The 23,901-nt window shown below is 36.5% G+C and overlaps 1 long non-coding RNA gene across 1 annotated transcript; it reads right to left on the bottom strand.

Moving 5' to 3' along the window:
- Positions 1-2,594: 2,594 nt before the first annotated feature.
- Positions 2,595-21,106, bottom strand: LOC105374459 (uncharacterized). Its single transcript, XR_001739398.2, has 6 exons — positions 21,023-21,106; positions 16,735-16,822; positions 16,141-16,273; positions 6,828-6,884; positions 3,818-4,192; positions 2,595-2,666 (listed from the first exon to the last, which is right to left on the bottom strand). It is a non-coding gene; the product is annotated as an uncharacterized LOC105374459 (long non-coding RNA).
- Between the last annotated feature and the right edge of the window lie 2,795 nt (positions 21,107-23,901).

The raw sequence follows: 23,901 nt of genomic DNA on the forward strand, positions 1-23,901 counted from the left end.
TTAGTATTTTAATTCATGGGGTAGGGGGCAATTGGAGGTATTTGGAGTACAACACAGTATTTTTTCTTTGTACCTAGAGAAGTCCCAGAGATGGGTAAAATTAACTATTCCTACTCCATAATTTATAGAAAAAAGAAATGCAGTACAGCTATGCAAAGAATTGCTCCTCAAGAGAGAGACATGCACTTTCTCTTCTATCAGTCACTTTCCTAAGCTCTCGAGATTGACTATCCCCAGAAAGATGATCTTCACAGCTGATTCCAGCTCCTTTGGATTCCCCTTAGTCGTTCCTTCAGAATGGACTTATTTTATGTTACTTTCTCAGCTGTTCTCTGTGTTTTTGGCTTGTTACCTCATAAGAGTATAAACTCCTTGTGGGGAGGTACTGTACATATTTTTACATGTTTGCACGTCCAGAATATTTTTGTTTTCATTCATGAGTTTTAAATAAATATCAGAACACCTGAAGGAATAAAAAGAAATGTGTTTCTACTTGAATTAGATCTCTAATTTACAAACTGAAGATCTGAAGTAACATGGAAATTTGAGGGGCAGGAAAAGCTACCCTCTACAGAAATAACATTCTACACTGAGAGGAATATGACTAAGAGAAAAGGTTTCACATCTCCTGATAATAATTATTCTAGGTTATTTGTATTAACTGTGTCTCATGAGATGTGCCTCACAGGAGTCAAAGGCAAAATCATCCCCATTTCACAAGCGCTAAGGGATTTGCTTAAGGGATCAAAGCAAAGCTTCAATGTAAAGGCCTATCTTCTTCCAATGGCTGTGACCTATCACTGTCCTATGCTGGTGGAAGGGCTGGGCTCTCTGATTCAGATAGCAGTACTTTCTATACATAACAGGGCTTAACTAGCCAATATTTATGGATATATATTGAGAAGCTTTGTAATTTTCAGATGAGAATTGTGGAGGAATATAAAGTCAACAGCAAACACTGGTTATTCTTTCTTCTTTTTCCCCCTGTCAAATAAGTGATTTTATTTAAGCCTGACTAGATGTCACTGTGTGAATTGGGTGATACTGAATTTCATTTCTACAATAAGTTTTTGATATGAAGTGACCAATTATAACTCAGACTGGACTATTTTTCTTGAAATGGCTATAATACCAATAGCTTATTATAGTGGATGAAGAAGGTTAAAGAGAGGATAAAGGAAAAAGAAATTTAAATAAGACTGGATGTATGCGCTGAATTCCATGCAATCTAAACTCCAGATATTAGGAAGTAAATTTCAGTAAATCTAGCTGATTTTTTATCTGACAGTCCACTTCAAAATCTGATATTGACTACAGCTTGCTTCTCTGTGCTCGGATGCTTTTACTGACTTTTCTATTCAGTGCCTTGTGATGCAGTACCAAAATGATTGGCTCAGTATATTTTCCCTTTGGGATTATTGTTGGAATCTTGGAAATCTTACAGATGCATTTATTACATTTCCAAAATTTTAGTGCTTGCTTAACCAACCAGGGGTTTGCTGCTTTATGTAGTGGGGTTCAGGGGAAGAAAATAACTTACTGAAGGTAATACAGATAGTTTCAAAGTTATATCGTAGCTTCTGTTAATGGAGCTTATAACCCCAGAGAAAAGTCTACTATTAAAACGATTTGGGCCAGCATGCAAGAGTGTGGTAATGACTTCTGTGGCTACAGTGGTGGTTGCTATTTGTTATTGTTCTTCTCTTTGTTGTTTTCTGTAAATTTGCTAATTCCCACTGCTACTACCGCACCCTCCACATACATTTTTTTCTTGAAATTTTTTAAAAAGCTTTCTGTGTTATTTTCTATACATAGCATGTTATGAGTTGATTTATTCTGACAAATACAAAAGCATGGCTCTAACTCATTTTAAATATGTAATGGTTATTTTTAAGCCAATCTTGAAACAATGTGAGATTTTATCTTTTATTTTATGTGGCTGACGAAACTCTACTTTTAGAGATCACACAGGTTTTACTTCATCTTTATCTCTGTCTTCCTTTTCTTGTTTTTCCTTATATTAACCTGCTCCCAAATCTGAGGCTTTATTTTATATATTTTTAAATACTCTCAGCAAATTTTTAACAGATTATTGAACATATAGTGATTGTTCTCTATTCTAAAGGGTCATATGTATGAAGGAGTAAAATACTGTAAGAAGTAGGTAAGAAAAATGAGATTTGATTATTTTGCCTGAAGGAAATTTACACTCAACCAGAACTATTGTACAATCATTTTCTATGTTTTTTTACTACCTTCTGAAAGCAGTCCTATGAGATATGTCAGCAGCCTCATGGCTCGATATACAAGTGAGGGAATAGAGGTTTAGAAAAATTAAATAACTGTCTCAAGTTCACAGAGCTATTGGGTAATGTGCACTGTAGTAATCAGGATAGGGTAGGATATGCCGTAGGCATGGAACATCCCTGAAATCTTGCTGGCTTAAAACAGCAAGTTTAATTCTCACTTATGTTCCAGCCCCGTGTATTTTGGACTACCCTCCCATCTTATGATGATACTACCTGGAACACACAGCCTCCAAGGACACATTGGCAGAGGAAGAGGAAGATGGCAGAGACACAAACAGGTGCTTACCTTTTTGATGTGAAAGCAGTGCATTTCATAATCCTTTGAACTGGACCCATAGCTACCGCCAGGGCTCCCACCTAACCAAAAGGGAGGGAACACACATAGAAAATTCAATAAGTCCTAAGTATTTCTGCCATGAAAAGAAACAAATTAAATTTAGTTTGTTGAAGTTCCAAACCTCTTTTCACAGCATCACAGTATGCTTTCTCTAATAATTTCCATTTCAGTCAACAATGAAATTATTTTTCAGAATTCCTTTAACAAATGAAAACCAGAGGCTTCTATCTCATAAATATGACTAAGCAAATATACAGACATGCACACACATATAAATGGTAATTATAATATACATGGAATTTTGTACAGTGTTTATTTTATTAGCCTAACATTTAATAATGAATCATTTTCTATGTCTTATTCTCCAAGAATACATTTGAATGGATGTACCATAATTCATCAAAAGATTTCTCTACTGTTGCAAATTTAAGTTGTTTCAACATTTTGATGATTATAAGTAAGACTGATTAAGTGTGTTTCCTGTTCTCTTCCTTAATTTCACTATATTTACTTCAGATAGATTTCTTGAATGAGAATTCTTGAGTCAAAGGATATTAAGAAATTTAAGGCTTTTTAAAAATCTTACAAAATTGTTTTCCAGAAATGTTGTATTGATATGCACTTTATTAGGTGTGCGTGAGGGAATACCTATCAATCACTTTTTCTCAGATATATATATTTGAATATATATATATCTTCAAGTATTTTTTAGACAGTTTTGCTCTGTTGCCCAGGCTGGAGTGCAGTGATACTATCTTGGCTCACTGTAACCTCTGCCTCCTAGGTTCAAGTGATTCTCATGCCTCAGCCACCCGAGTAGCTGGGATTACAGGTGTGTGCCACCATGCCTTGCTAATTTTTTTATTTTTAGTAAAGACAGGGTTTCGTCATTTGAGCCAAGCTGGTCTTACACTCCTGACCTCAGGTGATCCACCCGTCTCAGCCTCCCAAAGTGCTGGGATTACAGGCATGAGCCACCATGCCCACCTGGAATTTTGTATTTACTTGGTAATTATTTGGAGGTGGGCCTCAATTCTTGTTCTCCTGTAACTGAATCATCATTTTGTCCTTCTGTGAAGAAAGGTAACTTATTTTCTTTATCATTAGCTTTTATTAACTCACAGCTATATTCCAAAATTATAGTCTTCCCTTGTTCTTACAATTTTCATACCTGCTTCAGAGACTGAGAGTAGTCCTGGATCTTTTTATTTTTGTTATTTATTCCATCAGTTCCTTCATTCATATCAATCATTCAGCAAGGGCTTATATTTTTCCTCGTCTCTTATTACATTCTTTTCCCCTTATCTGCCCTTGCAAATGAAATTCCAGATGGCAAAAAGTGCAGAAATGGAGGAAATCCGAAGTTAAGAAAATAACAATACAAGAGGAATACTGCTGCAATGAGAGTCATTAGGTCTTTATGTTTGAATGCAAGTGCATTGAGAATCTTCCAAATAAATTCCATGTAGAGTGGAACTAAATAATGGGGTAAAACATCCATGACTGGATCAGCAATTTGCTTCTCCTGGTATCCAGTTAAATAGCCCTGTGAAAACAAGGTTACTGGTTCAACCTTTATAAGACACTGACAGTGGAAATACTTCTCCGGAATATCAAGCTCATAAGGATGGTTCCTATATCAGGAAACTGACCTCTGCTTTATTCTAGGAGCTATATTACCAGCCTCCTACCTTCTGTTTTTCCATTTGTTTTATTTAATCAGCATAAATGCAGCTTACCATACCTGTTCTATTGATTTTTGTAACAGATTTTAGTAGTACCCACAGACTGAAGCAAAGACAGTTCCCTCTTAACCTTTGATTGATGTATTCTTTTACCACACATGACAAAGTGATAGATGCACTTAGTTAACTTTCTCCAAAATCATTAACGCCATACTCACTGGTTGGCTACTCAGGGGTTGGTTAAGTAGCTGTCATGCATTTGCTACCTGAAACACTGCAATACTGAATAAGGAGCCCATTAATTTTCTTTCAAGATCAACTCCAAAGGGTAGGTATGAAATGCATAGTTAGGAAAGAAGTGGAATAATATACCATAGACTTCAGAGAGATACTGGGTACTACAAAATTACAACCTGAGCCTTAGATTAAAAAAGAGAAAGTAAATTGATTTTCTCTGAATTTATACTTGGGAAAATTGTTTAAAATGCTAACAAGTTTTCTAACAAGCCATAATTTAGCTGTTGAGTTCTCAGGTATACATAGGTAACCTCCAAGTTTTAATCTTGAACCCACCAATACACTCAAGCAGTAGATGACAAATTTTTGTTTTAAAAATCATTTTATATGAGACAGGAATGGAGAATATAGCAAATATAAAATTGAAATAGAAAGTAGTGCTTAAATAGTTACCAAAGGTACCTAACGAATAAATAATTATTCTCCAGAAAAATGGGGAAAAAATGTTACTGACCTAAAAAGTCATCTGTCTATTACTAATACTTTACTGAGGTAATTTAATAGTCCTCTTCTACATTTCATAACAGTATTACTCACATAGACTCTTTAACGTATAACTAGATTTTCCCTTATGGAATAAAAGGTATTGTCTGTCTTTAGCTTTGAATCCACAATAATTTGTCTACTATAGTTAATGAAGCAATAACTAAACTATAAGAACCAATCAATTGAATACCATGCCTCCCCAAAGGCTGAAAAACACTTACTTGCTTTTCTTCTTTCTCCCGGTTGTTATACCCAGGTAAAGAACAAAGAATCTTTTCCTGATATAGTATGTTTTATGTTCTTGGGAAGATTACCTTTATATAGTAACCTTACTCCTTGAACGGCACATAGGAAGTAGAAACAAACAAATAATGTCTTACATCTGTCTTATTATTCCGATAGAATCAGGTTTCCCACTGATTGACAAACAAAAACAACAGACACTTCTAAATAGCCAGGCTCTTCCCCCACAAAAAGTTAATACGGCCGGGTGCTGAGAATACACCTGTAATCTCAGCACTTTGGGAGGCCAAGGCAGGCGGATCACGAGGTCAAGATCATCCTGGCTAACATGGTGAAACCCCGTCTCTACTAAAAATACAAAAATTAGCCGGGTGTGGTGGCGGGCGCCTGTAGTCCCAGCTACTTGGGAGGCTGAGGCAGGAGAATGGCGTGAACCTGGGAGGCGGAGCTTGCAGTGAGCTGAGATCGTGCCACTGCACTCCAGCCTGGGCAATAGAGCGAGACTCCGTCTCAGAAAAAAAAAAAAAAAGAGTTAATACATGTTCAAGGAATCAAAAATGGAGAGGATCTAAAGGAGTGAGCTGGATTGCCCAGCTTTCTGTGGGGAAGAGGGACAAGGGGAGGGGACATTGCCTAGCCTGACCATGAAGAAGTTTGTAACTGATGGGGAAAATGACAGTCACATATTCTAAAAATAAATAGGTATTAAAAGATGTTCATCTGTCCATTCAACAAATATTTTGCATTGATTATATTTCACATGGAGTTCTAGAATCTGGGGAAGACAGTACACATGATAATAGAACTCATGTTCTACTGAGGTAAGAGACAGAATAAACATAGAAACAATTACAGAGTACAGGTTTTGAAACAGGTGCAGAGAAGGTAACAGAGACTCGATGTTGACTGGCACAGGGTAAACTGTAGATTATTTTTTTTAGACATAGTGGTTTAACAAGTGCTTCTCTCACAGGAAACGGGTTTTGAGCAGAAACCTGACTGATGAGGAAGAATGGGTTATTGAAAGACCTGATTGAAGAGTGGTCCAGGCAGAAGAACAGAAAGCTTAAAAGCCCAGAGTTGAAAACAAAGTTCAGGAATAGTAACAAATGGAACAATGGAGAGGAAATGTAGCTGGAGCTAATTATTGTGTGTGAGTGGGAAGGGACAAGGAGAGGATGAGAAATGCTCTATCAGAAATGATTTGTGATCATTTTGGCTGCCATAGTTTCCTAGTCATTTTAGCTAATATGTCATGTCACACTCAAATATCTCAGCTTTATGACCTGAGGTATTAGAATAATAATGTTGTATGTCTCTTATAAAACCATTCCCTTTTTATTGATTTTTGTTCCCAGAGATTATCATGGAGTTATTATGATTTCCATCTAATACTTCCTCATCTTACTGGATTATTGAACAATCAATACTGTTTGTCTACAGAGCAGAAGCCATCTTTATTTCTCTTACCTCTTTTTGGTAAAAACGAAGGAGGGATCACTCTTGCACTGGAAAACCAACAAATCACTGTGGAAACACAAGTAATAACATCGTGTTCTGTGATACATATGAGCAAACTACATTGTTTATTCAGAAAGAATCACTTCTGCTTTCAGCCAGTTTTGTAGCACCCAGACATCTCAAATTGCACACCACAGACAGGCTGCCTTCATTAAGGCAATGCTGAGTCCTGAGGCTGACCTGTATTTCGAGCAGAGAGCTCCCTTTTAAATCTAGGGAGTTGTGAACTAGTCACTGATTTGCCTATTTCTGTCAGAGTTTTGCACTGAAATACCCATTTTAAAAGCAAAAAATATATAACTAAATACCTTTCCATGAAACAAATTTCTGCCCACTTTCATAATCCTACATTACCATTGTTAATATGCATTACATGGGCTGGACATGGTGGCTCATGCCTGTAATCCCAGTACTTTGGGAGGCCGAGGTGGGCAGATCACTTGAGGTCAGGAGTTGGAGACCAGCCTGGCCAATATGGTGAAACCCCGTCTCTACTAAAAATAGAAAAATTAGCCAGGCGTGGTTGCGGGCGCCTGTAATCCCAGCTACTCGGGAGGCTGACGCACGAGAATCGCTTCAACCCGGGAATGAAAGTTGCAGTGAGCTAAGATCACGCCACTGCCCTCCAGCCTGGGCAATAGAGCAAGACTCAGTCTCAAAGAAAAAAAAGCATTACATAACGTGTCTACATGTACTATGTGATTAAACATGAATTATCTCACTTTATGCTCAAAGTATCTTTAGAAATAATTTTTGGCCAGGTGCTGTGCCTCACGCCTGTAATCCCAGCACTTAGGGAGTCTGAGGAGGGCAGATCACTTGAGGCCAGCCTGACCAAAATGGTGAAACCCTGTCTCCACTAAAAATACAAAAATTAGCCGGGTATGGTGGCACGTGCTTGTAATCCCAACTACAAAAAAAAAAGAAAAAAAAAGTTTCTAAGTACCCATAAGTAGTACTCTATGTGTTTTGTCTTTTTGTCTGTCCTTTACTGGACAATAAATCCATAATTATACTTCTTACACCCTCCAATGAAAAACTTAAAATCTCATAAATCACAAACAATACAATACTATATAAAATTATTCACACCTAGAATTTGGAAAACATAGGCACTTGGCTCGGGGCAGATGATGTAATATTGAAAGATGACAGAAAATAAGTAACATTCCAGCCCGATTAGTTTTTATCTACTTTATGCTTTAGAATAATTCATTTGTTCTTTAACTTATATTCATTAATTATCCGGTATATGCCAAGAGAGATTTCAAGCATTTATTATTCATACAGCTGTTGCACTAGGGGGTTAAGAAACAATGAAATAAGTACATTAAAATATTACAATTGTTACAATAGAGTGAGGTAAAAACTCCAGGAGGAAGATTTGTTAAAGGCAGCCCAAATCTGATGGAGGAGGTTAAAGATGAGTTTCAGAGGAGATAGCACTTAAGAAGATGCTACATTTTGGACTGAACCAAATTAAATAGGCATGTTTGGCTCACGAGTCACATAAAATAAATTCTATACTATTCAAATGAATAGAACTATATAGTATGCTATTGTGTTTATGAGTCTGAGCCGAGATAGGAGGCAGGACCGGACTCCACAGGCATGGCTTGGGTACCAGCCTAAATTGAGTACTAGCTAAAATAGGTCCTGGGCAGAAGCGGAGGAGGTTAAAGATGAGTTTCAGAGGAGATAGCACTTAAGAAGATGCTACATTTTGGACTGAACCAAATTAAATAGGCATGTTTGGCTCACGAGTCACATAAAATAAATTCTATACTATTCAAATGAATAGAACTATATAGTATGCTATTGTGTTTATGAGTCTGAGCCGAGATAGGAGGCAGGACCGGACTCCACAGGCATGGCTTGGGTACCAGCCTAAATTGAGTACTAGCTAAAATAGGTCCTGGGCAGAAGCATCTCCCGGTAAGACATGCCCATCAGTGTTCCATGTCAGCTTACCATTGCCATGGCAACACTATGAAGTTACTGTCCCTTTTCATGGCAATGACTAGACAGCCTGGAAGTTAACACCCCTTTTTCTGCATAAACCACCCCTAATTTGCATATAATTAGAAGTGTGTGTAAATATGACTGCTGGACTGCTACTCTGGGCACACTGCCTATGGGGTAGCCCCTGATCCGCAAGGAGTGGTACCTCTGCTGCTGCTGTACACTGCCACTTCAGTAAAGTTGCTACTTAACACCACCAGTTAGCCTTTGAATTCTTTCCTGGGCAAAGTCAAGAACCCTCTTGAGCTATGCCCCAGTCTTGGGGCTTGCCTGTCCTGCATCAGAGCTCTAAGGTAAAGAACTATATGGGCTGGGGATATACATTTTGGATTCCAGGAATATAGCTGAAAAAATCTATAATTACCATTTTGATTTAAAAGAAAGACTGAGAATAGAACCCATTGGAATCTTAATTATTCTAATACTTATGGTATAAAGGCAGAAAAGGAAATCCTGAAAATATGTTGCAAGTGAGTGACCAGAGGTGTGAGAAGAAAACATGCAAGACAATGGAATAGGAGCAGTCTGGGAAGGAGCACATCTCAGGAAAGCAATGCATGGCCCCCTTTGTCATATTTCTGAGCTCTGCCAAGGATGATGAGAACTGAAGAGATTGCTTGACTTTGACAAATTTGAAACTGATGACTAACTGAGATATATCAATTAAGTGGTGGGAGTTTCCTAGACTTTTAAGAGAAAGTTACCATGGCAATGAGGGTAATACAAGTGAGTGAAGCATTTTAAGAAGATGTGGTAAATTTGAACATGTTTATCTGATGCAGAAAATAAAACAATGAAATAAAAAATATAGTAAATTAGGGATTATTTCAAAAGGAAATTTTCCTTAAGAGGCAGGAGGAGATGGGGCTGAGGACAGAGGTAGGTGTACAATTTTCAGAAGTAGAGGTAGGGAAGCTCTTTTCCCCATTAAGCAGATAATATATGTATCTGTTTTAAAGAAATTGAGTCACTAAGTAGGAAATTGATAGAGCTCAAGCTGACATTTTCTGTCTTAAAAAGAATAGTCTTTATCCTAACAGAATGAGTTTAAGACTAGGATTATAGGTTTGAAATGCAACTTTGGGGTCACTGTTAATGTAAAAAGGGAATTATATGATAAAAGGCCACAATTGTCTTTCTTCACACATGATAGACATCATTACTCAATCTCAGCAATTTTTCCAGCTGAGCCCAACTGTACTTTCACAACCCTCCCCCATATACAGTACATTCAGGTAGCCGCTACCAATCAACCGAAATTGTTCCAAGAGTAGAGGTCTCTATATCAGTGACAGGATTACAAATTCAATTTTAAGGTCACTGCACAGATGGTATACACTATAATTTTAGTGATTCCAGTCAGCAAAGTTATGATCTTGTGAGTTAGTTTAGCAACATTTACCAGTTCAGGCACAGTGGAAATGGAAAAGTGTTCAGGCATTTTCAGAAAAGTGGGGCAGAAGGACAGAAGGGTTGAGGGTATATGCAGTACTGGCAAAAGGTAAATGGAGGTGAAGGCCATGAAGTCTAGGCTGGCTAAAAAAGGAAGAGAAGTTTGAGGGACAGTAAGAGACTTCAAGAAGAGAGGAAATCAAAGCAGTCTAGGGATCATAGTCTCACAGTATGTATAATGAGAAAAACAAGAGCTCAAAAAATGAGAGATTGACCACAGTTGCTTCTCTTTGTTCAACCTAATATAAAAACACTGGGCCAGGCGCAGTGGCTGATGTCTGTAATCCCAGCACTTTGGGAGACTGAGGCAGGTGGATAATAAGGTCAAGAGATCGAGAACATCCTGGCCAACATGGTGAAACCCCATCTCTACTAAAAATACAAAAATTAGCTGGGTGTGGTGGTGGGCACCTGTAGTCCCAGCTACTTGGGAGGCTGAGGCAGGAGAATCACTTGAACCCAGGAGGCAGAGGTTGCAGTGAGCCGAGACTGCCACCGCACTCCAGCCTGGTGACAGAGCGAGACTCCAACTCCAAAAAAAAAAAAAAAAAAAAAAAAAATTTGGGTCTTTACTTCTTCAGGTATTCATTTTCTTATGAGGGATCTTGTGTCACATAAAATTTACATTAAATCATTATGCTTTACTCCTATTAATTTATTTTATGTCAAATTCTCAGGCCCAGCCTGGGAGCCCTAAGAGGGTAAAGGTAGTTTTACCTCCGCTGAAATAACAAACATATGACAGTGGACAGTGGAAATGGCTGGATAATCCTGGTGGGTGAAATCATAGAAGGTGCAGATGTCAAGGAACAGTTTGTTAGATGTTCCCAGAATAAATGCTGGATTTGCAGTGTGAACCAAGATGATGACATACTATAGTTCTTGATGAATATGGGCAAAGTGTCAGAAAAATAGTAGGCAATTACGTGGGCTGGGATAAAGGAGGGGATTAATGTTTTGTTTTTTGGAGAGATGGGGGTCTCACTATATTGCACAGTCTGGTCTTGAAGTCCTGGCCTCAAGTGATATTCCTGCCTTGGGCTCCTAAAAATTTTTGGGACCACAGACATGAGCCATTATGTCCAGCAGGGATTTTAACCAAAGATTTAAATGAAGCAGCGTAGAAGTGACAGTGGCATCTAGAAGAATAATTGCTTCCCTTCTTATCTATTGATCTAGACTAAGAAATTAATCCTACATCACTGCAAGGAGCATGTACAACAATATGGAGAACACACGTTCACACACACACACGGGTGCATACATGAGCATGTATGCATGCACATATGTACACATAAACAGTGTGAATAGTATAAAAGATTTCCCAAACAATATTTACTATTAAAAATTGTGATATACTGTGATAATGTATGTTTTAGTCTATCCTATTTTATTGTGTTCTATTGCATTACATAAATGCTGGTAGAAACACGCCCCTTATAGTATTTTTTATTTTTGTACATATATTTATGGGGTACATGAGATGTTTTGATACAAGGATGCAATGTGTAATAATCACATCATGGAGAATGGGGTAGCTGTCCCCACAAGCATTTATCCTTTGTGTTACAAACAATCCAATTATACTCTACTCTTTTAGTTGTTTTACAATGCAGAACTAAATTATTATTGACTATGGTCACCCTATTGTGCTATGAAATAGTAGGTCTTATACATCTTTTTATTTATTCTTTTGTACCCATTAACCATCCCCACTTCTCCCCCAACCCCATTATCCTTCCCAGCCTCTGGTAATCATCCTTCTACTATCTATTTCCATGAGTTCAATTGTTTTGATTTTTAGACCCACAAATAAGTAAGGACGTGCTATGTTTGTTTTTCTGTCCTTGGCTTATTTCACTTCAAATCGCAGTCTCCAGTTCTATCCATTTAGGTATTTAATTTTATTTGTGGCTATTGTAAGTGAGATTACATTTTCATTTCTTTTTCAGATTGTTCATTGTTGGCATATAGAAATACTACTCATTTTTGTGTGTGGATTTTGTAATCCTGTGACTTTACGGAATTGGTTTATCAGTTATAATAGTTTTTTTTTTTGTAGAGTCTTTAGACTTTTTCAAATATGTCATGTCATCTGCAAACAAGAATAATTTGACTTCTTCCTTTCCAGTTTGGATATTATTTACTTCTTTCTCTTGTCTGATTGCTATAGCTAGGACTTTCAGTACTATGTTGAATAATGGGTGAAAGTGGGCATCATTGTCATGCTCCAGATTTTAGAGGAAAGCCTTTCAATTTTCCCACATTTGGTATGATACTGGGTATGAGTCTGTCATATATGGTTTTTATCATGTTGAGGTATGTTCCTTCTACACCGTTTTTTTGAGAATTTTTTTATTATAAATGAATGTTGAATTTTATGAAATGCTTTTTCAACATTAATTGAAATGATCATATGGTTTTTGTCTATCATTCTGTTGATATGATGTATCTTATTTATTAATATGTTTATGTTGAACCATCCTTGCATCTCAGGGACAAATCCTGCTTGGTCATGATAAATGATCTTTCTAATTTAGTATTGAATTCAGTTTGCTAGTGTTTTGTTAAGGATTTTTGCATCAATATTCGTTAAATGTATTGACCTGTAGCTTTCTTTTTTTGATGTGTCTTTGTCTGGGTTTGGTATCAGAGTAATACTGGTCTTGTAAAATGAATTTGGAAGTATTCCGTCTTCTATTCTTTGGAATAGTTTAAATAGGATTGGTAGTAGTTTTTCTTTAAATGTTTGGTGGAATTCAGTAGGGAAGCCATTGGGTCTCAGGCTTTTCTTTGCTGGGAGACTTTTTATTATAGCTTAGATCTTGTTACTTGTTACTGATCTGTTTAGGTTTTGGATTTGTTCATGGTTCAATCTTGGTAGGTTGTATTCATATAGGATTTTTTCTCATTTCTTTTAGATTTTCTAATTTTTTGGAATGTAGTTGCTCAGAGTAACCACTAATAATCCTTTGCATTTCTGTGCTATCAGTTGTAATATATCCTTTTTTTTTCTCTCTGATTTATTTCTTTGGGTCTGGTCCCTTTTTTTTTTTTTTTGTGGTCTAACTTAAGGGTTGTCAATTTTGTTTATCTTTTCAAAAAACCAACTTTTTGTTCTTTTGGTCTTTTGTATTGTTTTTTCATTTCAATTTTATTTATTTCTGCTATTATCTTTATTATTTCTTTTCATATGGTAATTTGGGATTTGGTTTGCTGTTGCTCTTCTAGTTCTTTAAAATGCATCATTGGATTGTTTAATTGAGTTTCTCCTCCTTTTCGATGTGGGCAGGTATTAGTCTGTTCTCATGCTACTAATAAAGACATACCCAAGACATACCCAAGGTTTAATTGACTCATGATCCCAACTGGCTGGGGAGGCCTCACAATCATGGTGGAAGGCAAATGAGGAGCAAAGTTATGTCTTATATGGCAGCAGACATGAGTGCATGTGCAGGGGAAATCATCAGATATCATGAGACTTATTCACTATCACAAGAACAGCATGGGAAAGACCCATCCCCATGATTCGATTACCTCTCACTGGGTCCCTCCTGTGACACACAGGAATTACAGGATCTATAATTCAAGATGAGATTTGGGTTGGGGACACGGCCAAACCATGTAGGGCATTTATAGCTATGTACTTCCCTCTTAGTGCTGCTTTTCCTATATCCCATAGGCTTTGATAGGTTGCATAAACAAACAGATAAGAAGAAAAGTGATAAAAACTGTATGCTTTAATTTCATCCCCTCACTTTTTTACTTTCTGTTTGTTTCTATTTATATCTTTTTGTATTGACTATGCCTTGTAAAGCCGATGTAGTTATTATTTTTGATTGGTTCATCATTTAGTCTTTCTACTTAGAATAAGAGTAATTTACACACCATAGTTACAGGGTTATCATATTCTGTGTTCTTCTGCATTCTTACTATTACTGGTGAGTCTTGTTCCTTCAGGTGATTACTTATTGGTTATTGGTAACATCCTTTTCTTTCTGATTGAAGCACAGCCTTTGGAATTTCTTGCAGGACAGGCATGATGTGGATGAAATCCCTCAGTTTTTGTTTGTCTGCAAAAATCTTTATTTCTTTGTCATGTTTGAAGGATACTTTTGCCAGATATACTATTCTAGGGTAACTTTTTTTTCCTTTATTTCTTGAAATATATGTAGTTCCACTCTCTTCTGGCTGGTAAGGTTTCCACTGAAAAGTCTGCTGCAAGAGGTGTTGGAACTCTATTATATGTTATTTGTTTCTCTTCTCTTGCTGCTGTTAGGATCCTTTGTTTACCTTTGATAATTGGAAGTTTGATTATTAAATTCCTCCAGGTAGTCCTTTTTGGGTTAAATCTGCTTGATATTCTACAACTTTCTTGTACTTGAATATTGGTATCTTTGTCCAGGATTAGGAAGTTATCTATTATCACTTTGAATAAACTTTCTACTTGTATACTTCTCTCACTGCCACCTCTTTAAGGCCAATAAATTTTATATTTTCTAGATTTTGTAGGCATACTTTTTTCTTTAATTCTTTTTTTTTTTTTTTTTTGAGATGGAGTGTCGCCCTATTGCCCAGGCTGGAGTGCAGTGGTGTGATCTCAGCTCACTGCAAGCTCCGCCTTCTGGGTTCACGCCATTCTCTTGCCTCAGCCTCCCGAGCAGCTGGAACTACAGCACCCACCACCACTCCTGGCTAATTTTTTGTATTTTTTGTAGAGACAGGGTTTCACTGTGTTAGCCAGGATGGTCTCGATCTCCTGACCTTGTGATCCACCCGCCTCGGCCTCCCAAAGTGCTGGGATTACAGGCGTGAGCCACGGCACCCGGCCTTTTCTTTAATTCTTTTTGGTTTTGTTTCCTCTTACTGTGTGTTTTCAAATAGGTTGTCTTCAAGCTCACTAGTTCTGTCTTTTGCTTCATCAATTATGCTATTAAAAGACTGATGCATTCTTTAGTATGTCAATTACATTTTTAGCTCCAAAATTTCTGCTTGATTTTTTAAAAATTATCTCTATCTTTAATTATCTTGATCTCATTGTTAAATTTATTGGATAGAATTCTTAATTCATTCTCTATGTTATCTTGAATTTCTTTGAGCTTCCTTAACACAGCTATTGTGAATTCCGATTCACAACACAAAAACAGATATGTGTCTGAAAGGTCACATATCTGTTTTTCCCCAGAATGGGTCACTGGTGCCTTATTTAGTTTATTTGGTGAGGTCATGTTTTCCTGGATTTTCTCTGTACTTGTAGATGTTTATCTGTGTCTGGGCATTGAAGAGTTAGGGATTTATTTTAGTCTTTGCAGTCTGGGCTTATTTGTACCTGTCTTTCTGGGAAGGCTTTTCAGATATTCTAAAGGACTTGTGTGTTGTGATCTAAGCTGTAACTGCATTAGGGTGGCAGCCCAATCCCAGTAGCACTGTGGTTCCTGCAGATTCATAGAGGTACTGCGTTGATAATCTTGGTGAAGATCCAGGAGAATTCTCTGGATTACCAGCAGAGACTCTTGTTCTCTTCTGTACTTTCTTTCAAACAACTGGAGTCTCTTTTTCTGTTCTGAGACATCTGAAGCTTGGGATGTAGTGACATAAGCACCCCTGGCAATCTATTGGATAGTGCAGTGTACTACTTTGCCGTAAAAGTAAGACAGTTAGGCCATTTCCCAAAACTGTGTTACCATATTGGTGTGTATGTGTGTGTTTGTGCGCTGACAAAAGTGCTGTCGCCATTGAATATTGTCAAACTGTCAGCTGTTAGAAAGATCCATAGAAAAACACTCACTCTTTGGTGTTCCTTTTTTCTCACAGAATGATACAAGGTGAGGGTCAGGTGGCATACAGATCAGGTGGAGGGAATCATCTCACTGCAGAGGAATCCTGGACAAAATGTTCTGCCATTTTATGGCTCCATGGAGCTGGGGGAAAGATAGACGGAAGGGTTAGGAGTAGAAAAGTAACGAGTCAAAGTGGGAAAAAGTGCCCCAGCCACGGGCTCCCAATAATGACATCTTGGTGGAGGCAACCCTCCTAGCTTAAATCAGAAACAATTAGATACCCTGAACAGACCAATTACCAGTAGCAAGATTGAAACAGTAATTTAAAAATTACCAACAACAGCAAAAAAAGCCCAGGACCGGATGGATTCACAGCAGAATTCTACCAGATGTTTAAATAATTGGTATCAATCCTTTTGACCCTATTCCGCAAGATAGAGAAAGAAGGAACCCTCCCTGAATCATTCAATGAAGCCAGCATCACCCTAATACCAAAACCAAGAAAGGACACAACCCAAAAAGGACTTGGGATTTTTATTGCTATTGTTATGGATAGCCATTGGAAGATCCTTAAGGTGAGGATCGACAAAAATCAGACTTACTTTTTAACAGACGGTCCCCTTAGCTTCTGTAGGAGAAAGGAACCTAAGAGAACGTCTAGGTGACCTCTTAACAAGTTACTGTACAATTCTAGGTAAGATATAAAAAGACCAATGTGTTAGCAGTGGAGATGAAGAGAAATAAACACATTTAAGCTATGCTTTGAAGGCATAATTTATAAACATATTGAGATATTGTATGTGACATGTGAAGAAACATCAGAAAGACTCAAGCTTTTGCCTTAAACTGCTAGATGCATGGTATGTATACCAGACTGTAGCAGGTTTGTGTGTGCATGTGTGTGTTTCTGTGTAGTGGGGAAAATGACTGGTTCTTTCGTGAGCTTTGTTAAGACTCATGATAATATTGAGATGCCTGTTATATATCAAAGTGGAAAGGGAAAACTGACTATCACATCTATGTCTTTGGTGTTCAAAGAAGCACTTTGGGATAGAGATATAAATTTGTGAGTTTTTAACAGATGAAAATTAAGGCAAAATTAAACCATAATCAACCCAAGGGAGTAAAACTTAGGCTGCATTAAGAATGTCTGCATTATTAAGTGATAGTAGATAACAATATGAAAACAATATTGTGGGCCAATAATTGATAGTATTACACATTATTTATCATATATAAAAACAAAAGTAAGCAATTCCAGATATATACATACTCCAAAAGTATACCTACCACCCCTACTTTTAAAAGAAAGCACTTAAAGTCATGCTTACAAGCTGTTGAGAATAAATCGAAATTTAGTATTCAGTAATAACTAACTTGTGGGTTTATATTCCTTTACCAGAAATGTGTTATAAAAAATCTGAAATATGGATGCAAATTTATGCACAAAGATGTTCATTGTAAAATTTTTGTAAATAATGAAAATTACAATAAATGTTAGGAAAATGTCCATATGGTGGAATACTAGGAAACCATTGAAAATGATGTTTATGAATAATTTAAATTACACAGGAAAATAATTATGAAACACAGTTAAATAAAAAAGCAGGATATCAAATTATAGGTGCAATATCATTTCTACCAATACGTGCAGAAAAAACATACTGGAAGAAAAAAAAGGAATGTTATTGGTGTTTGCCTCTGGGAGGTAGAATTACTGTTTTTCAGTTTCATTGTTAGTTTTTTGCTCTGTAAGATTTCTGTATCAGTATTACTTCTATGAATAGAAAGCTATATTAGAAAGTTTTAAAACTTGAAAAGGCAGTGAAGAGTTTATAGAAACACGTAATAATATGATAGAAGGCTAAGTATAAATGCAGAATATAAGTATAATACATATTCCCACCAAAATGTACAAAAATAAGTGAATACGTGTGCGTGAACAAGCTTAAAGAGACGCTCACCAAAAAAATAAAATGATGTAATCTGCATTAATAGGAGTTAGAGAATACTGTGAATTTCATGTTACTTGTGAATAGGAAAACAAACACTGAACTTCAACAGTTCCTATTGAAATTCCCTTTAGTATTGCCATCTTATGAATGCAGAAATTAGTGGAAAGAAGGGAAACTGTAAATAGGTCATAGGCAGTGAAGAGAAAAGAGGAAAGAAGAACAAAGTCCAAAAAAAAATCAATCTGAGAAAGAGAAATTCAAGCCTAAGTGCCAAAATGCTGAATAATGATCAGGGACTTAGCACTTCATAGCACTGGCTAGAGCAGGAGGCCTAAATTAGAGGGGTACTAGAGGTAGTAGCTCCAGAATCACCACTACTAGTTGAGGAGAGAGAGAGCGGTGCCCCTTAGAGATATGATAATGATGGAAAAGAGAGAGTGAGAAGAGAAAACTAAAGGTCCTAAAGAAACACTTACAAGATAAGCCAATTTACCCTTCTCTCCCATCACCAATGCCAACTATTAATGAAACTACATGTCACTTATATTGACAGTAGAGCGCACTCTTGAGAAAGAAGCCTTGTCCACAAAATGCCTAGATATAGAAAAATCAGAGCAATATCATACCAGACTATAGAAAAAAGAAAAAAATGAAAGCATTTCAGTTGTTAAAAATTTTCCTTAATATCCAGTATAAAAGAGAACAAAACTATCATAAAACAATCTCAAATTAATCTTACACAAACACTCATATGTATTTGTAAAAAGCACTGAAATTCAAAAATTACCACAAATATATAAATAGTAAATACAAGAGTTGAATTTCAGTGAGAGTTGAACAGAGCTCAGGAAAGAAACTTTAAATAAAAAAGTAAAGAAATAAAATAACATAAAAACAGAATTGAAGGATATAATTCAAGATGCCCAAGGGAGAGTAAAATTGAATGAAATTTTAATAAGAGGCATTGAAAGGAAGAAAGAAACCGTGAATATTCCAGCAATTTCATTACTCGGTATATACTCAAAGGAGTATAAATCATTCTGTTATAAAGACACATGCACATGTGTGTTCACTGCAGCATTATTCACGATAGCAAAGGCATGGAATCAAACTAAATGCCCATCAGTGATAGACTGGATAAAGAAAATGTGGTAAATATACACCATGGAATACTATGCAGCCGCAAAAAATGAGATCATATCCTTTGCAGGAGCATGGATGGAGCTGGAGGCCATTATCCTCAGCAAACTAACACAGAAACAGGAAGCCAAATACTGTGTGTTTTCATTTCTAAGTGGGAGCTAAATGATAAGAACACATGGACACATAGAGGAACACACATGCACTGAGGACTTTTGGAGAGTGGAGGTTGTGAGGAGGGAGAAGATCAGGAAAAATAACTAACGGGTACTAAGCTTAATACCTGGATGATGAAATAATCTAACAACAAACTCCCATGACACAAGTTTACCTATGTAGCAAACCTGCACTTGTACTTCTGAACTTGAGTTTAAATAAAGTAACCATGAATATAAACATGACCAAAAAAAAAAAAAAAGTGGAAAAGTAATAATGGCTGGAGAAAAAGTGGTTGAAATGAAGGACATGCAAAGGAGTTCTACATATATGCAACTGGGATCTCTTAAGAAGAATAATAGGCCGGGCACGGTGGCTCATGCCTGTAATCCCAGCACTTTGGGAGGCCGAGGTGGGCGGATCAGGAGGTCAAGAGATCGAGACCATCCTGGCTAACACGGTGAAACTCCGTCTCTACTAAAAATACAAAAAATTAGCCGGCTGTGGTGGTGGGCGCCTGTAGTCCCAGCTACTCAGGAGGCTGAGGCAGGAGAATGTCGTGAACCCAGGAGGCAGAACTTGTAGTGAGTCGAGATTGTGCCACTGCACTCCAGCCTGGGTGACAGAATGAGACTCCGTCTCAAAAATAATAATAATAATAGTAATGCAATGGAATGAAACTAATATTTATTTTTAAAATCCATAAGTAATTTTCTAGGAAAAATAAAATCCTTACGTCAATATATTGAAAGAACCTATTATACACCTGAAAAACTGAGCCAGGGCAATCACCCTGAAACGTACCACGGTAAAATTTTAGACTTTAAGGTCAAATGAAAAATTCTCAGGGCTTACAGTCAAAATGACCAAGTTATTTATAAGAGTAAGAAAGTAATACAGGCACCAGATATCTCAACAGCACATCAGCGATAGAAAGGCAAGAGGAGAGAAAGATTTTCAAGAAACTCAGAAAAAATAAACAACAAACTCTGATGGCACATGCTACCCATGTAACAAACTTGCACATCCTGCACATGTACCCCAAACTTAAAGTTAAAAAAAGAGAATCATTCATTAAATTTAGCATCTCAGGAGATAATCAAATTTGATCAGGGCAGGATATTTACGTGGTATATAAATTATATGTTGATTCTAAAAGTAAAATCACTTTAATATGTACAAACTATATCATGCAGAATCTGGATAATCCCCTAACCATGTAATTAAAATCAACATTACCAGTAAAGTAAAAATGAAGTAAATTGTGTGCCACAGAATGTAATACTTTAAGGATATGGTATGTCTTATGTCATATTCCGGGCAAAAATACATAACCTGATTGTAATTTTGTAAATTAAAAAGTAATTTACAAGTAAATTAAAAGAAGTGCAAGGTAAAAGTGATCTGTGATGTTGAAGTGAGTAAATTCTCACTCTTTTAATATATGCTCTAAGAATTTGTAGGAGTTCTGGTTTGCTTTAGTTTCTTGGTAACTTCCTGCTTAGTAAACTGAGGCATGTGTGGAATAGAAACAGTTTCCTGCTCCCATATTACCCAAACCTGTAATGTAAAAATAGTTTTGAAACTTCACTCAATTGGAATGTTTACACTCATCAGCCAAAGGGGAGACTTTGGTTACCACGCTGTGCCTGTTGGAAATCAGTCTGAACAGTGTGATCCCACGACGTCCTGAGAAGCATCTCTCTACTACAAAACAGGCAATCTAAAACAGAAAACACACCAATCTGCTATAAATCTACAGATATGAATACTTCATACGTAGTTTGAAATCTCTGCCTTCAATAAGGATAAAAAGATATATATATATATATATATATACACACACACACACACACAAACATAAAATGACTCCATAATTTTAAACATTCTAGCAATGTAACATTTGAAACCCAATTTGTGCATTAATTTTTGTTTTTCATCATTAGGCATTTATTGAGCCTTTATTGTATGTGTTAGATGCACTGATAGTTTCTGAATATTCTAGCCTTGAATAATTTCTCTTCATTTCTAATTTAGTTCGATGCCACATGTGTAGCGACTCAAGCAGTTCTTCACCAATAGGACTACTTAAATGTATCTTCCATACAGTGTGTCAAATATGTGACCTTCAGATATATTTTTATTAAATACAAATCTGACCATGCTATACCCTGTTTTAAATTTTTAATACTTCCCTTGATCTGAAGAATAAAGCCAGCTATCTCAGCATAATTCACATTTCTCTCTCCAAAACTTCTTTCAGTTGATGTAGTGCTTTCTGCTTTTGGAGCAGATCATATCCTTATATACTTTTTCTTAAGCCAATCCTCTTTCTTGGGGTTATTTTCTTTGTGCTTCTGAGGAACATCAAAATGTTCCTTTCTTCACCCAATGATATTAAGAACTCCTAGATCTGGGCTTTCTTGGCTATTATGACTGCCCACACTTGTACTTGAGTTTATTTCTATGTGTCCTGTTTTCTCCTAGCTGTAGGTATAGTACAGGCACCACCTCTTTCTTATCCCAGTGCTCTTTTGGAATGTTTGGATCCTACTATAGTTTTCATAAATATTGGCCAAATGGAAAAATTATGTTTACTATAACTATACAACTAAGTCAACTAGTAAAGAAAATAAAGTGTTAGGAGAAGGGTATATAAAAGAAAAATCCCCCAAAGACTTCAGAAGCAAGAGCACATATTGCACAAATATTCTGAATCCATGTACTGCCCACTGAAATGTTTCAAATTGTACCTAATGATACTCCATTAACAACACCCAAGATGATTTTGAAAACATTAAAGATGTTGGACAGAATTAGACGTCTGACTTGAAATAATTCCAGTGAGACATGGACAAGCAATCACTTTGAAGTAAAAATGTTTATGCAGCACAGCAGAATTATCAAATACCCTACCTACTGCCAAAGAACAGCTACAGCCAAATATTAAGTAACGTAAAAGAAAAAAGGAGCCACAATTCTCTCAATAGGATATAAAGAATAGGCTGTGGTTCAGACGTGTACTTGGGCACAAACAAAGCATACATTCAATCATATTATCTTTCACACAAAACAGGTAGAGAAAATGGGCAGAACATATAATTTTGCATCTCAAAAATTTAACTCATAATAATGCTTTCTTATTCTTGAATAATTATTTGATTTCAATCAAGGGCAATATAAAAAGTAAGAATTTAATTATAAAGTGTGTAACATTTTTATTTACATTATTTTCATATTTTTTCTTGTAAGTAGGTCTACATAAATACTTCAAGTGAGTCAATTATTAAAAGTACTTAAGACTATGAGCAGCCTAAGGATTACATTTCATGGCATAGCTTCCCTTATTTGCATACATAATGACACCTACTTTTAGCAAAGAGGCTTTTGAGAGGTAAGGAGTGGATAATGTACAGAATTTATAAACATTAGCGGTATATCTTTATCCTCTCTTAGCCTCCTGCCTCTACACTATGAAATTTAACTCATGATTCCTTTCAAACTGTTATAAACCATCTAAATTTCTCTTACTACATTTTAATCCCATTTTCTTCTCTATCTGATGGAGAGATGGAGATTACTATTTACAACATTGGCAATAATTATGAAATTATCTTCCCTTTTAATTTCCTAGAAAAAATATGTATAGTCTGTCTTCCTTCTCGAGATTCTTTAGCCATCATTGCTTCCAGTCCCTTTCCAATTCTTCTCAGCAGTCATTTCTCAAAGTATGTGTTCCTGAAAAAAAAAAAAAAAGGTGGGGGGTGGACTTAGACCTGTAAGTCTTCACTAATTAATATGGTGAGAGTCTATTTCACAAGTCTTGTTCATTGAACTTATTGCATAAAGCCTCATGATTTTATTGAGCAAAGAAGACTTTTGCTCCAGTTTCTGGAGAGAACCCCACTGGAAGATTCTTTTGTATTTCAGTCTCACTCCATGGAATACTGAATGTTGTCTGATTGATACAGTTCCAGAAAAGTTCTGTGCTTGCATTTGGCCGGACTCTTGATCTAACTCTTTTGGCCCTGCTTGCTTTCAAGAGAAGCACTTTTCCTGCTCTTCTGCTGCTCCTCTGTGGTAAGTCCATCTGTCTCAGGGCATAGAATCTGTCTTTTTGAGGATCTTCTCTTTCTCTTACTCTTTCTCTCCCAAACTTGAGTAGATACGAAACAGACTGTGCTACCCTCTCCACTTGGCTATGTAAGTGCACCCAGCATTTGTTGTGTCATCCCAGTTTGTCTTCCAGGAAGGCCCTAAGATTTAGTTGGTTAAAAATCGATGTTGAACCCTTCAACTCAAGTATCAAAAGCCCTGTATTTTGTGGTTAACAAAGATGATACTTGGCTAATATTTTTCATCTGCTCCCAGTTGGTCCAGTATAAAGAAGGGAGTAAAGATAATGAGCTAAATTCACCACTTTCTTCAAAAGTCAGGAATTTCTTCCTAATGCCAGTTGAGAATTTGAAGAACTCATCATGTAAAAATATATTTTCATAATATTTAGAAAAGCTTCAA

This window comes from Homo sapiens, chromosome 2 (genome assembly GCF_000001405.40).
Source record: "Homo sapiens chromosome 2, GRCh38.p14 Primary Assembly".
NCBI lineage: Eukaryota > Metazoa > Chordata > Mammalia > Primates > Hominidae > Homo > Homo sapiens.